Source organism: Homo sapiens, chromosome 14, assembly GCF_000001405.40.
Source record: "Homo sapiens chromosome 14, GRCh38.p14 Primary Assembly".
NCBI lineage: Eukaryota > Metazoa > Chordata > Mammalia > Primates > Hominidae > Homo > Homo sapiens.
Genome location: NC_000014.9, coordinates 33,697,841 through 33,710,726, shown reverse-complemented (window position 1 = coordinate 33,710,726; position 12,886 = coordinate 33,697,841). Strand labels below are relative to the sequence as shown.

The window sequence follows — 12,886 nt, the reverse complement described above, 5'->3', positions numbered from 1 at the left end:
CCTAGGGACACTCAGCCTATAGCACAATGTCCTGGGGCCAGTCCTTCACTTGGGGCACTCCTTTTTCCTTTCTCCGGGGACCCACTGTCTGGATGTGTCTCCCCTTGTCGGCACTGACAGCAGAGAGCAGTCAGGAGCGGGGCACGCCTGATGAGACTGAGCCATTCGTTTTCCAGCCAAAAGGGTAAGGGCTTGTAGGAGAAGAATGCGGCCTCGGCTTAATAGAGTGAGATTTGATCATTATTTTGGTGATTTCAACACCCACACTTTGCTGAGGTTCCAGTGAGTCTGGTGGATAAGAAGCTATGTGGTTCACAAATGACCCTTTATCAACTCAGGACAAGAAAGATAAGATCTCAAGCCTAGCAGTGATTCCTCAAGCTATTTGTCCCCATTCACAAATTTCTCAGATACAAACTCTTTACCCTCAACTTTGGCTCTATTCTAGATCTAAAATATGGGAACTGCGGATGTCTCTGTGTTCTGATCTATTTTTTAATTAGAGATTGGAATTGGCGTTCTGCTCACAAGTTTTGCCTTTGCCACCAAAGTCTGAAAGTTGTTACATCAAGTCGCATTGTGTTAGTAACTTCCTATCACATGAGCAGAGATTAAATTTGCTAATGTAATATGAAAATCACTAACATAAGATGAGTGCAAATAGAAATCACAATCTCCACAGACTCCCTAAGGGTAATGTTGAATGTGTAAACACATCTCTCTGGTGGTTTGCTCTTGCTAACACAAGTGTGAGTGTTGAAGTCGCCACTTCGGTTTACCTTCAGTGCTCTCCAGGCTGGGCGTGGGGCTGTGTGCACAGTGTGTGGGAGGGTAAGGGAGTGGTCTGTAAAAATCCCAGCATGATACATATCAACCATCCTACATGCATGGGGGATATTTAAGTCCTGAGGAAGGGCAGGCTTATTTTCTTCCTCCTCTTATTTGGTGAAGCAGAAAGGATTGGGTTTGTAATTAGAACAGCCATGGTGAAGTTGGGCTTGGCTGTTCATTAGCAGGCGGTAAACCTTTGCGGGCTTCAGTGTTCTCATCTATAAAATGGTGATATGTGGACTCCCACACAGGGTTGGCCCTTGTGGGAATCAAACTCAATAATGGATGTGAAAGCACTTCTCACACTGGAAAGAACTTAGCAAATGTTACTCATAATATCAACTCCCCAAACTTTCCTTGTGCTGTTACTCTCTGACATCATCCAATTCAGCCATGAAGTCAACCTAAACTCTTGCCCTCCCGAGTTATTTATTCAGAGGGTAGGCTCTGTTCTCCAGATGGCCAGGGATGGGAGAATGGGGGCGGGAAGTAGCAGAGAGTATGAATTCACTTCTGCCTCTCCTGGCATCCTGTGATATTATTCATCAGCCTTCGGGGTGGGACGGTTTTTCCTTTAAATTTGAAATAGCTAAAATTTATAAGAAGCTGATTAACCTCCTATTCATGAACAACCACCTTTCTCCAGGGGACAATGACTGACTTACGCGCGCAGGGTATGCTTTGGTGCCATCTGTAGAAATAAAGCAGTTATTTTTGTGAATAGAAAAGAGCTTCAGTTATGTGCCGCAGGCAGGCAGAAGAGTGGAATACAAAAGCCACTTGGGTGTTGTGGAGAACTGTCCACTCATTCAATCAATAAATATATGGGGGTAACACCATCTCACTTGGGCTTTCCGATCTATTTTCAATCAGTAATAGATCCAATCTCTCAGTAAACCTACAAATGAAGCCAATTTTCTTGTCCTTACTTTGCAAATGGAGAAAATGAAATACTGAGGTGCTCAGGTCTAGTAGAGGCAGAAAAGCTAGCCTCTGCATGACCAAACCCTAGTCTCAGTCAATCCTACCAAAGACCCACACACACTCAGGACAGCAGTGCCCATATGCTGAGCCCTGGAATGACCTGGGCTCCTCTGCCTTTCAGAGATGCATTGCCCTTTGCCTGCTTCGACTGAATTTTTACTTGCTGGGTTATTTTTAATTTTCCCGTCCTGCTCCCCCCACCTCCATGTGTCTGTGTTTTCTAGACTCTCTGACTCTTCCATGACTCAAATACTTTTAAATAATTCTTTTTCATCAATAAGTTTTGCCATCTTGCTTTTCATCTTCCTCTTCCAGGTCGTTAAGACTCTGAATAAAGCCTGTATTGGTTTTCTCCCCTGGGCTCCCCACAATTAACCTCTTTCTACAGAAAGAAATGGCCTTTTATTCCTACTCATTGCCTTCCATCTCTTAACTAGTTTTTAAGATGTAACATAATTTTAACACTTGCCCCATGGTTACCAATTTGGCTCAATAGCCTCTTGCAAGGATTATTATTATTATTTTTCTTTCTTTCTTACCTAAAGTCCTTTGAAAGTCAAAATGTATCACACCCACCAGTACTCCCTTTTATCCATGGTTTTGGGGACTTCTTCAAAGGATTCTAAAGCACCTAAGTCTTCTCCAATTTGCTATTATTCTATCACTGTGCGGTTTCTTCCGAGGACACCGCCTTGCTCATTGAGAGGTCTGTTCTGGGCTCACTGTCCCAGGGCTGGGTGGCTGCTGCGAAACCTGCCTACGTTAGGGCAGCTGCTGCAGCCATGAACACGGTGAGGTGCTGGTGGTGGCCAGCTGCTGCTGCTGCTGCTGCTGCTTTTTTGTGTTTTTTTTTGTGGCTGCTCGATGACTTGCCAAGTAAGGGCCATCAGCCCCTGGTGAGGTAATAAAATGTAATTTCTACTGTGGCTTTCTTCCACGTTCCCACATCTAGGACACAACTTCACATTCACCACCAAAAGCATACCTTCCCTCACCACCCCCCGGTTCAGATATTGACTCACTGTGCTGTGTGCCACGCATGCAGGCAAAGCGATAATTTAGCTGTGCTCTGCAGATCCCTCCAGCTTCTCCCGACACCCTGACCTATGGGGCTGCCTTTCCTCCAGGCCTCTTTCTCTGGAAGGGCTAGAGGAAAGGCTGATAATTTGCCTTGATGTCTTTGTTCTTTGAATTTATTCTTCCTTCTCCTGCCCTCCATCTTGCCTGCTGAAGTTTATGTTCCCTTCTATTAGCTCCACTTGGGCAGGAATTCTCTCTTTTAAAGCATACTTTTCCACCCGACTGCATTCCTGCGATTTGAACCATACAGGTTTTTATTTCTCGCCTATCACTTCCTTTTTTGTTGTTGTTGTTCTGGGACAGGCGAAGAGATTCTTCCTCTAATCAGGTATTCCTCAGCTGCCTTCATGCTGATTCTATGGATTTTAATTTGCTAAAGTTCCCTTCAGGCAGTTTCCAACATCCAGTTCCTGGGTCTTGCACAGCGCTGAGTACACTGTTGGCACTCAACAAATATTAAATAATCATCATTCTCCTTTTGAAAAAAAAAAAGAAGAAAAAGAAACCAGCTGCTCTTGAATTCTACTTGTCGAAATAGAACTATTTGTGTTCAAGTCCTCACTCCACCAGTGTCCAACTTAATTATGCTGAGGTCAATTTTGTTTTGCAGCTCAACAGCACATACTGTCTAAATCAGAATCAACTCCTCTGCTCCTTAGAAATAAATATATTCTGCCTTATTAATCATCTTGGCTTAGGAGTAGGAGACTGATGTGAGTACCCACAATCTGCTAGACTTTACCAAGTGTGTAAAATAAATGTTATCTCTCCCCCAAGCTTACACTGTTTAGACAGGAAGATAGAGGACACATAATATTTTATTTTAATGGGTGTATTATTTAAATGGAGCTATTTCATTGCTGTTCCTGAAGTGATTTTCTTAAAGATAGCCTTTTCTTATGATGAACCAAGAGGGTGCCATTGGAGCGTTTTTGTCCCAGGCAAGTTCTTGTTTCCTTCTTTGAGGTTAGGCTGAAAAGACGTGAGACGGAGCCAGGGGAGGCTCTGAATCAGCTGCTCAGGGCTGCTTCCTAGCTGTGCAACTTTGGGCTAACTTATTGACGTCTCTGAGCCCTCAAGTCCATCATCTGGAAATGGGGTGAACAATAATCTGCGCTCCTAGGATTATTGGGAGGATTGAATAAGTTCATGCTTGGCACACATAGTTTCAAAGTAATATAATACTTTGAAAATGCTTGGCACATGTTAGCCATTATTGTTTAGATTTTATATTTAAGGCTGTCCAGTAAAAAGTTCCTATTTATTCATTTTACTCCTATCCACGTGCCCCAGTGTCCATTTTGTCAGACGTTTCTATCTTCCTGGATCATGAGAAACAGCCAGATCTATGGGGGAAGGCATGGTGTTTGGTGTCAGCTAGGCCTCGGTCCAAACTGTGGCTCCACCATTTCTAGAGTTTGGATGAATGACTTTAATTGCTCTGATTTTCAGTTTCCTCTGCTGTGAAAATGGGATTCATAATCCCTTACATGGATATTCTAAAGATAAATCTTTGGCATGTGGTGAACACCCAGTGAATGGTAGCTCCATCCTCCCTCTCCACCACTTGATTTCTTTGCTGTGTATGGAATTTCTGGGCCTCTGCTTACATACAGAAACCCCCTACTAGCTCATATTTTGATGTAAAGAAGGGATAAAGAAATGTAGGAGGCTGAGAGGAATAAAAGGAGAGGGAAGCTTTTATGTACTGATGGCTCTCCCAACCATGGTGCTAATGTCATCCCGGGATTTGTCATACTTGAATGAAAAGGGTTGTGTGGCCACAGGGCCTCCCCTAGCAGTTACATGTGTACAGGGGTGGAGGATTTAGGCTAATAACACATCACTGTATCCTTAGAGAATGCATTTTTCGTTGGTCATTCACTTCATTTTTCATTTGCTATTTTTCATTATGGTATTAAACTGTGTGATAAATGAAAGGTAGAGGAACTTGACAGATGATTTGATTTCCGCCCTTGTCAGATGATTTGGCTTAGTTTCCTTATGAAAATAGAAGACAAGCCCTGTAAAATTGTTCTTGTGGATTTGTTTTTCAGTACGTATTTCCCACCACTGCCATATCTAATCTATCTATTTACCTATGATTCAGTTACTGATCTGTATCCCACAGGAGCCTGGATACATATTGACAAAGTTTCCTATTTGCCACAGTGGCTTGTATCTAAGGAACATTCCACACGAACTTCCAATTCTTTTTTTCTACATAGCTTCTCCACGCCCTGTATTATTAGAGGCTTCAACTCTAGAATGTCCGCAAAAGACACGGGTTTTGCAACAAAAGAAAGTCTTTTTCATTCTTCCATTTAAATACAGTAGCCGATTTCGCCTCCCTCTTGGTAATGCGGAAAGGATAAATTCAGTGTTGAACAAACCTTTGTCATTTATGGGCTGCCAAAGCCAGGGTTAGCAACATATCTTCATTTCAACACTCCCAAAACTTTACTGAAATGTATTATTGTGCATGCTTCTAGGGGGAAAAGGGAGCCAATGAACTAACTGTGTAGATGCTACTAACCTCACAGATAATCACACTGCCCTAGGAAGACAAAGCTGGAAGGAAGGAGAGAGAGGATGTACAACCCCCTTTTCCCTCCTGGTAGGTGAAAGAAAGGTTCTAAAACAGATCATGTTTATCTGTATTGTTGTACCTTTCAGTAAAACTGGTGTGATATGACAGAAACAGTCTCTAAGTAGCAGCTTCACTTAGACAACAAACAAATAAAAATGAGGGCGCTTCCCCTATTGGACAGCTTTAAAAAAGTGGAAGAGATGCAATAAATCCTTAAGCTTAATAATGGAGTTAATTGTGAGTTGCTAAGGCAGACAAGTGATGGAGAAATGGTTTATGAGCGACCTGCCTGAAACTGCACCCATATTTTCAAGTGTGGGTGCATAGCAATGCCACCCTATTTTTTCCTCTTCTTTCCACCCAAAGCTTAGAAGTTATGTCAGGCTTTTATAAAAGCCTTTTCTTCTAAACTCTCCATTAAGCAGCATTCAAAAATGCATGCTGAAAATGTCAGTTATTAGCCTTGGTGCACGTCAAGCCGCTCTCTCCCTCTTGTTAATGTGAGCAGTTACTCTGCTCTTGACCTATTAAAACTTTGTTTGCTATTATACTTGCTGGCAAGCTAGTCATGTGGAAAGGTGTTGAGAAAATGAGCCAGTGTGTTCCCCAGGTGATATAAACACTTTATCAAGCTGATCCCTGCCATGTTATGTAAACTATACCAGGTAGCATTCATTTTAAACAAAGAGATAAACAGATCTAATATGCTTCAGGGCATCATGCTTTATGCATGAACTACTTTTTATTTTTATATTTGAGATTTTTCTACACAATCAATTGTAATGCAATAAGGAAGTAAAATAATGTCTTAACTACAACCATAGCTGTACCTCCAATTTCTAAATTCTGAGAGTGATGTACTTGGTTAATCCCATGTTAAATTTTTAAATTCTCACTTAACAATTAATTTTTAGCTACAATTCTGTTGTTACAAGAACTTAAAAAAGTAATCTGCAGAGATAAAAATTATATGTACACACACATTATAATTTATATGTACACACACTTTCATAACTCATATTAGCCATCTAATTTGTTATCACATGACTTCATTCTTTATTCCTAAAAATTCTCTAGATTTCACTGCGTATTTATGTGCAAGGTAATGGGCAATAATATAGTGTTTTACTTTGTGCTTTTCTACGGGTTTTCTTTCATCCTCACATAGTCCTTTGAAGTGGGTCTTATTACTGTATATTCATTTTACAGATAAAGATATTGAGGCTTAGAAAGTAAAATAACTTGTCCAAGGTTTCCCAGCTCTGAGACGAGATTCAAAGTCAAGTGTGCCTGACTTTAGAGTCTCTGCTCTTGGTACAGAGTGGTGGAGAACATGGGCTCTGGGGTCAGGCTACTGGGTTGAAATCCTGGCCCTCTTGCTTACTGGTGTGTGATCTTGAGATGAGTTATTTAGCCTTTTTGAGATTTTTTACTCACCTGTAAAATGGGGTTAATAATAGTTCCTACCTCAAAGGATTTGGTAAGAATTAAACCAGATAATACATGTATATGGCCTGGCACATAGGAAGTTCTCCCTATTTGTTGCTATTATTATTGTTGTTGTTAATTTTATCATCATGTATTATTGCCTCCCATTCATGATAGTTGTAGATTTTAACCATTATAAATGATAACATTAAAATTTAAAACCAGAATTTTCTTAACCTAGAAAGCAAGTCCCCTGATCCTGGAAAAATTAAGACTTATGAGAATAAATGAATAAATGAATGAGTCAATGATTTATTTAAGAGACAGGGTCTTGCTCTGTCGCCCAAGCTGAAGTGCAGCAGTATGATCATGGCTCACTGTAGCCTCAACTTTCCAGGCTTAGGCAATCCTTCTGCCTCAGCCTCTCAAGTGTCTGGGACTATAGGTACATGCCACTAAGCCTGAAAAATGTTTTCAAAATTTTTTTTTTGTAGAAATGGGGGGTCTCACTGTGTGGCACAGGCTAGTCTTAAACTCCTGGCCTCTGGCAATCCCACCTCACCCTCCAAAAGTGATTGGATCATGGGAATAAGCCACTGCTCCCAGCCAAGGGTAATTTAATATCATAACGCTATTCATTAGAACATGTATCTTTTGACTATAATTTTGCAAGTTCTACATTAAACAGTACAGGAATTCTTCTGCCCCAATCCTCTTCCCCCACCCCACCTCCAACTAATGCGATTTCCAAAGGAAATATATTGACTCAGGATGGAGTTTGCATTTCATTATCTGCTGTATTAAACTAAAAGTCCTAATTCAATTGGAAAGTTTGATATATATACATAAAGCCATATAATGTGGCTTATATCTTCTAGCTTAAGTGGAAATTGTCAGGTGGATATTTCACACCCAGAATGATCAACCTAGGGCTTATTTTCAAAGAAGAGAATGTACATCAACTCGCACCCCCAGCTCCCTCAATCCTTACTGACAAGAGTGGTTGTAACACAAGTTTGCCATTCAGGGAGCTGATTCTATTCTCACTCCTTGTCTAATGTGGGTTAGATGAGGTCTCTATCTTCTTGCCCTCCCACCCTCTCCCCTTCAGGTTCCACATACATATCTAGAACAGGAGCCAGACAAATGATAAGTTACTCTTAAAAAGATAACCCCTGTAATTATGAGTCAATCCATTGAATGTTAGTGTTCTTCTAGGTTATACATAGAAAAGTCATGTCGACCATGAAACAGGTCTCTGGATTCAGAGTCAATCCACTTTCCTCACATGGACCCAACTTCTGTTTTTCAGTTCCCTTATTTGATAAGTAAGAGCTATTAACCTCACAAAGTATTGCTATTTGTGGTATATTTATAGAATAATTTGTTAGGATTATTTGCATCTGCACTGAAATTGGTTTTGAGTTCTTTCCAACTGGAGAGATCCATCAAAAGCACTGAAAATGACTGAAAATGATAGGAGTATGTTCCAAATGCAATAGAAAGCCACTCTCCCACCAATTGCATTTTTGGCTGAATTCCCTTCTTACATAGCCAAGATAATTCTGTCCAAGGGACAGGGATAACTATTGATACTGGGTGAGAGCAATAACTGGATGACCAATACCATTTGCATGTTTAAAGAGAATTTGAAAGAGCATCACAATTAACATGGAACAGAGGACAGCCTCTCTAGAGAGTTACTTCTGAAAGGAACTGAAAATACTCCTTTTAGGCACTTTTCCAGAAAGTTCTCCAGTTTTTATCTTGCATCTTCTCTAGAAGGCTGAACAGTTTGACAATCTACTTTTTTTCTACCACAGCATCTCAGTTTAGTTTTGCTTCCTATATAGTTGGTTCTACATCCATCTCTTGCTAGATTGTAAGATCCCTGAGGGCAGATACCATTTCTTATTCATCTTTGTAGCCTCCAAAGCATTTGGTAGATATCTCTGCACACAGAATTTGGGTTAAATAAACAAATGAACCAATGACCTAATCACAAATTGTACCTCATGGGCAGAGACTGATTCAGTACGAACACTGGAAATACTCAAAAAGTTGTTAAATGGATAAATGAATGAATGAGTGAAGGAACAGGCCTTTAAAGAGTTGCTCTAAATACTCCTGTGTAGAAATTGTAAGACAAAAGGTGGCTGGGAGTGGAACTGTGTCTAAATATGAAGCAAACCAAAATTGTTATAACATTTTCCCCACTCTCTAGAAAAAATTAAAACAAATTAGTGACATTAATGAAAAGCCAAGGATCTAAAAACTAATGAAGGATTCTACTGAAACAGTAATTCCCACTGTCTTTTGGAGCCAGGGTCCACTCTGAGAATTTGAGCAAATCCCTTTTTCAAGAACAATGACTCACATCCATACGCAGTTTTGCATATAGTGTTCCTCTCAATATGGGATGGCCAAACAGACCTGCAGGTTAACAATCTATGCTTTAATAAGGACAGACTTTGAAGTTCAGGTTTAAACCATGAGATCAATGATCAGGCAAAGTTATGCATTTCTCTGTTTTTGAAGTTTTCTCATTTGTAAAATGGAAATAAAAAAGACAGTCCTAACCTCACAGGGTTGTTATGGAACTCAGATGGACAAACATGAGCATGTATTTGAAAATACTTGGTAGGCTGTGCAGCACCATATTCATGAAAGGTATTAGAGTGCTGATGCTTCCTTGCACTAGGACAGGGTAGGTAATGGAACCCACAAATCAGCTACTTCATTCTCCTCTCCTCTCCCCTTTGTTTCACGGACGCCCTTAAATTCTTTGTTCACATGCGTGCTTCTCCTACTAGCCTATAAGCTCCACTAAAGTCAGGAATGTAATTGTATTCATTTGTATCTCTTTTTCCTCCAGAACCTACATGGTGCTTTATCTGTACTTGACAATTAAACAACATTAAGAAACATATTTTGGATAGTAGCGAAATCTTCCACACTGGGTTTAAACGTGTGGTGGAATGAATTGCAGGGAAGTTCAAATTTATACGTGGATTGGTCAGACCAACCCCATTTCAATAAAATACTGTGTTCAGAAGCACACTTGCTTTATAAGTCCTGGACGCAATCACTATCTAGAGAAGGGGTGATTTATTAACTAGCTAAAACATCCTCACTGCTATAGGATAAGCTTTTCAGCCTTTACCTCCATTTGTGAGCAACTAAAAATCAAAGAACGAATAAAATCCAATCACCCAGAACTTCTTCCTGTAGACAGACTGAATTATAACTTTTTAATTTAGGCAGGTAAAGAATTATTACCGTAGGACTCTAGGGCAGGAATGTGTTAATAAAATCATCCTCTCTGCCTTTTCATTTAAAATAATCCCTTGAGCTGATTAAATGAAATATCACTTGTTTAATAACTGACAGAACATTATTTTTAAGCACAAATGTTTTGCATATTTTCGCTCCCCATTTTTAATTCCAGGCACAGGAGGGTGGAGGCACTGACATCACACAAAGGGAGTTGAGCTCTGTGCTCGGATGCAGTTTGCCCTGTCATCGTGGCATCTATAATTTAGTGTGAAGCAGCGAGGTAGACAGAGCATTATCATCAGAAACCATTCTGAACAGGGATATAAAACACAGTCGCAATAACACTTGTCAGAGAGGTGACTCCAGTCAGAACTCATATCCATGAGTTTCAAGATAAATGCTGACACGGCAGCCATCCTACAAAGACTATTATTGCTTTTAAAAAAACAAGCCAAACCCCCAAACAAAGCAAACCCATGAACCTTCCCCAGAGGGAACAAGTTAGTATGAAGTTTGCATCTGGGGTGGCATAAACTTTCCATGATTTACAGTAAGCATATCCCTTCTCCACTTGGATAGGGTATTTTATGATGCCACAGAGGAAGGATCCAATAGCATTTTGGGTTTAATGATGTTAAGCTATTTGGAATTCTTTCCCCCCTGTTATTTGGAATATATGAGCTGTGCCCCTAAAACAGGTCATTAGCTGTGCCGTGTACGGGTTCATCGCCTCACCCACAGGACTGCTCAGCTGCTGCTTGCATTTTCCCTGTCTTCTACATTTAAAAAAAAATGTCTTTGACTTGGTACTGGGCTATGATTTAATAACCCTGTTCTGCTGACTTCATAAGCTGTGAAACCTTGGAGAAAAATCCCAAATCTGAATTACAGTTCTAATTACTCTGGCCGAGGCAAAGGGTTTCAGCATTGAATGTTCTATTAGTGCCCATTTCACATTGAGTACTATTTGTTGCCAGAGGTTACAGGGCTGCATTCTGATTCGCTTTTCTCCTCTTCCACGAATGCAGCCACTTTCCTGGCGCCCTTTCTGTCTTCAAGGCTGGAGGAGCTAACTGCTTGGTGATTCCGTGCAAATAATTTTTCCTGAGCTCCCAGAACTTACTCAGAGAGTGCGCTTCGGTTTCAGAAAAACAGATCTATTGCCAACGCAAATTTACAATTTAGCAGGGTTGTTTTCATCACAAAAGGATCCACCGTGATATAAAAATATAATTAAGAAAATTATTTCCCTTTTACTTAATTGGTTGGTTTTAATTAATGATATTTATTTTAAAATGATTTATTATTCCAGCTTTTAAATGTTTGATATTTTCTAGCAATTAAAAACGTTAAAATGAAAGTTAACACATGCACATGTTTTTTTTTGAAACGTTAAAACAGCACAGAAGGGTATACAGCGAGAACAAGCCTTCCTCCCAACTCTCACCTGAGATTTCCTAGGGTCTGTCTCACAGGCCACCTCTGTGTTTCCTATGTGTCCCTGCAGAGATTCTTGTCCACATGCCAGCACATGTGGCTGTACCTGCTTTCACTTGGTACATAAATGACAGCAACCAATATGTGTTCTGCCCCTTTCCCTTTTCTGCTGGATAGCTTGAAAACTGGGTTCCATATCTGGACATGTACATCCTCAGCATTCTTTTAAATGGCAGCATGATATTTTGGCCCATGGTTTACCTTCATCCTTTATTTAGCCAAGTCTCCACTATTGATTAACTATAGATCAATTCAATTGAAAATTACAATGGAGATTCTTATAAATATTCTTTGTGCAAAGGATTATTTTAAATAGGGAATTCTGCTGGAATATTTCAGTTTCCTTTGTGAAACCTGTCTGAGGAAGGGAAGTATGTCAGGGGCTTTTAAAGCTAACGTTTAGGGGAGGGTATTACTAATTCAGAATGACCTAAAGAGCAAGGTGGATGTGGAATGATGAGAAAGTGTTTAAGTTCCAAAAATGTGATTTATCTTCTTTGGGGAGTGAAATTATTTTACAACGTAAGATATTCCTGTAGCATCCTGTGAGCATCTTCTGAGGGCTGGCGAGGCAAAAGCTTTAATGTGATCTCTCTCTTGAAAGAAGTTAAGCTATGATAAATGAGATAACCAAGACTTCACATTCCCCTTCAAAAGAACATGGAAACCACCCAGTTTCATGGCAAAAGCCACAGATTGTTTACTCACATAATTTTAAAAAAACCTTTCTTTTGTGTTCCTAAAAGCAGAATAAAAACATTTAATATTTATCTTCTGAAAATTCTGGAGGTCATATGTTGTATGTCTCTTGGTACCTGTGGTTACATGTCTCTTGACACCTGTAGTTATCTTTCCTAGCCCTGTGATGGTTGAGTGATGATTTGTCATTTACTGTCAGTGCCTCACCAGAACCCTTGCTCCTTGAGGGCAGGTCTGCATGTGAGCTCTTCACTGTGGCCTGCCCAGCTCTGGCACAGGGCTTTGCAGACCATCGGATGCATGAGCTGCAAGGGTCTCTATGCATTGAAAGTATACAAGAAAGAAGATACTCTTCTCAAATAGTAAGAATATAAAGAATTCTTCCAGAATGGAAATTTCTTTTCATCACTTATAATTGGACCCATTTGAGAGAAAGACACATTGAGGAGAAAAACCAGAATGTCTAATAACCCTGCCTATGCTAGGTTAAAGAACTAGCTA

The 12,886-nt window shown here is 40.2% G+C and overlaps 1 protein-coding gene and 1 non-coding gene across 20 annotated transcripts in view; both read right to left on the bottom strand.

Annotated features, from left to right (window-relative positions):
- The window catches only part of NPAS3 (neuronal PAS domain protein 3), an 869,389-nt gene that overhangs the window by 93,447 nt on the left and 763,056 nt on the right, over nt 1-12,886 (bottom strand). The window lies entirely within an intron of this gene.
- SNORA89 (small nucleolar RNA, H/ACA box 89) lies at nt 1,614-1,790 on the bottom strand. Its single transcript, NR_132771.1, has one exon. It is a non-coding gene; the product is annotated as a small nucleolar RNA, H/ACA box 89 (small nucleolar RNA).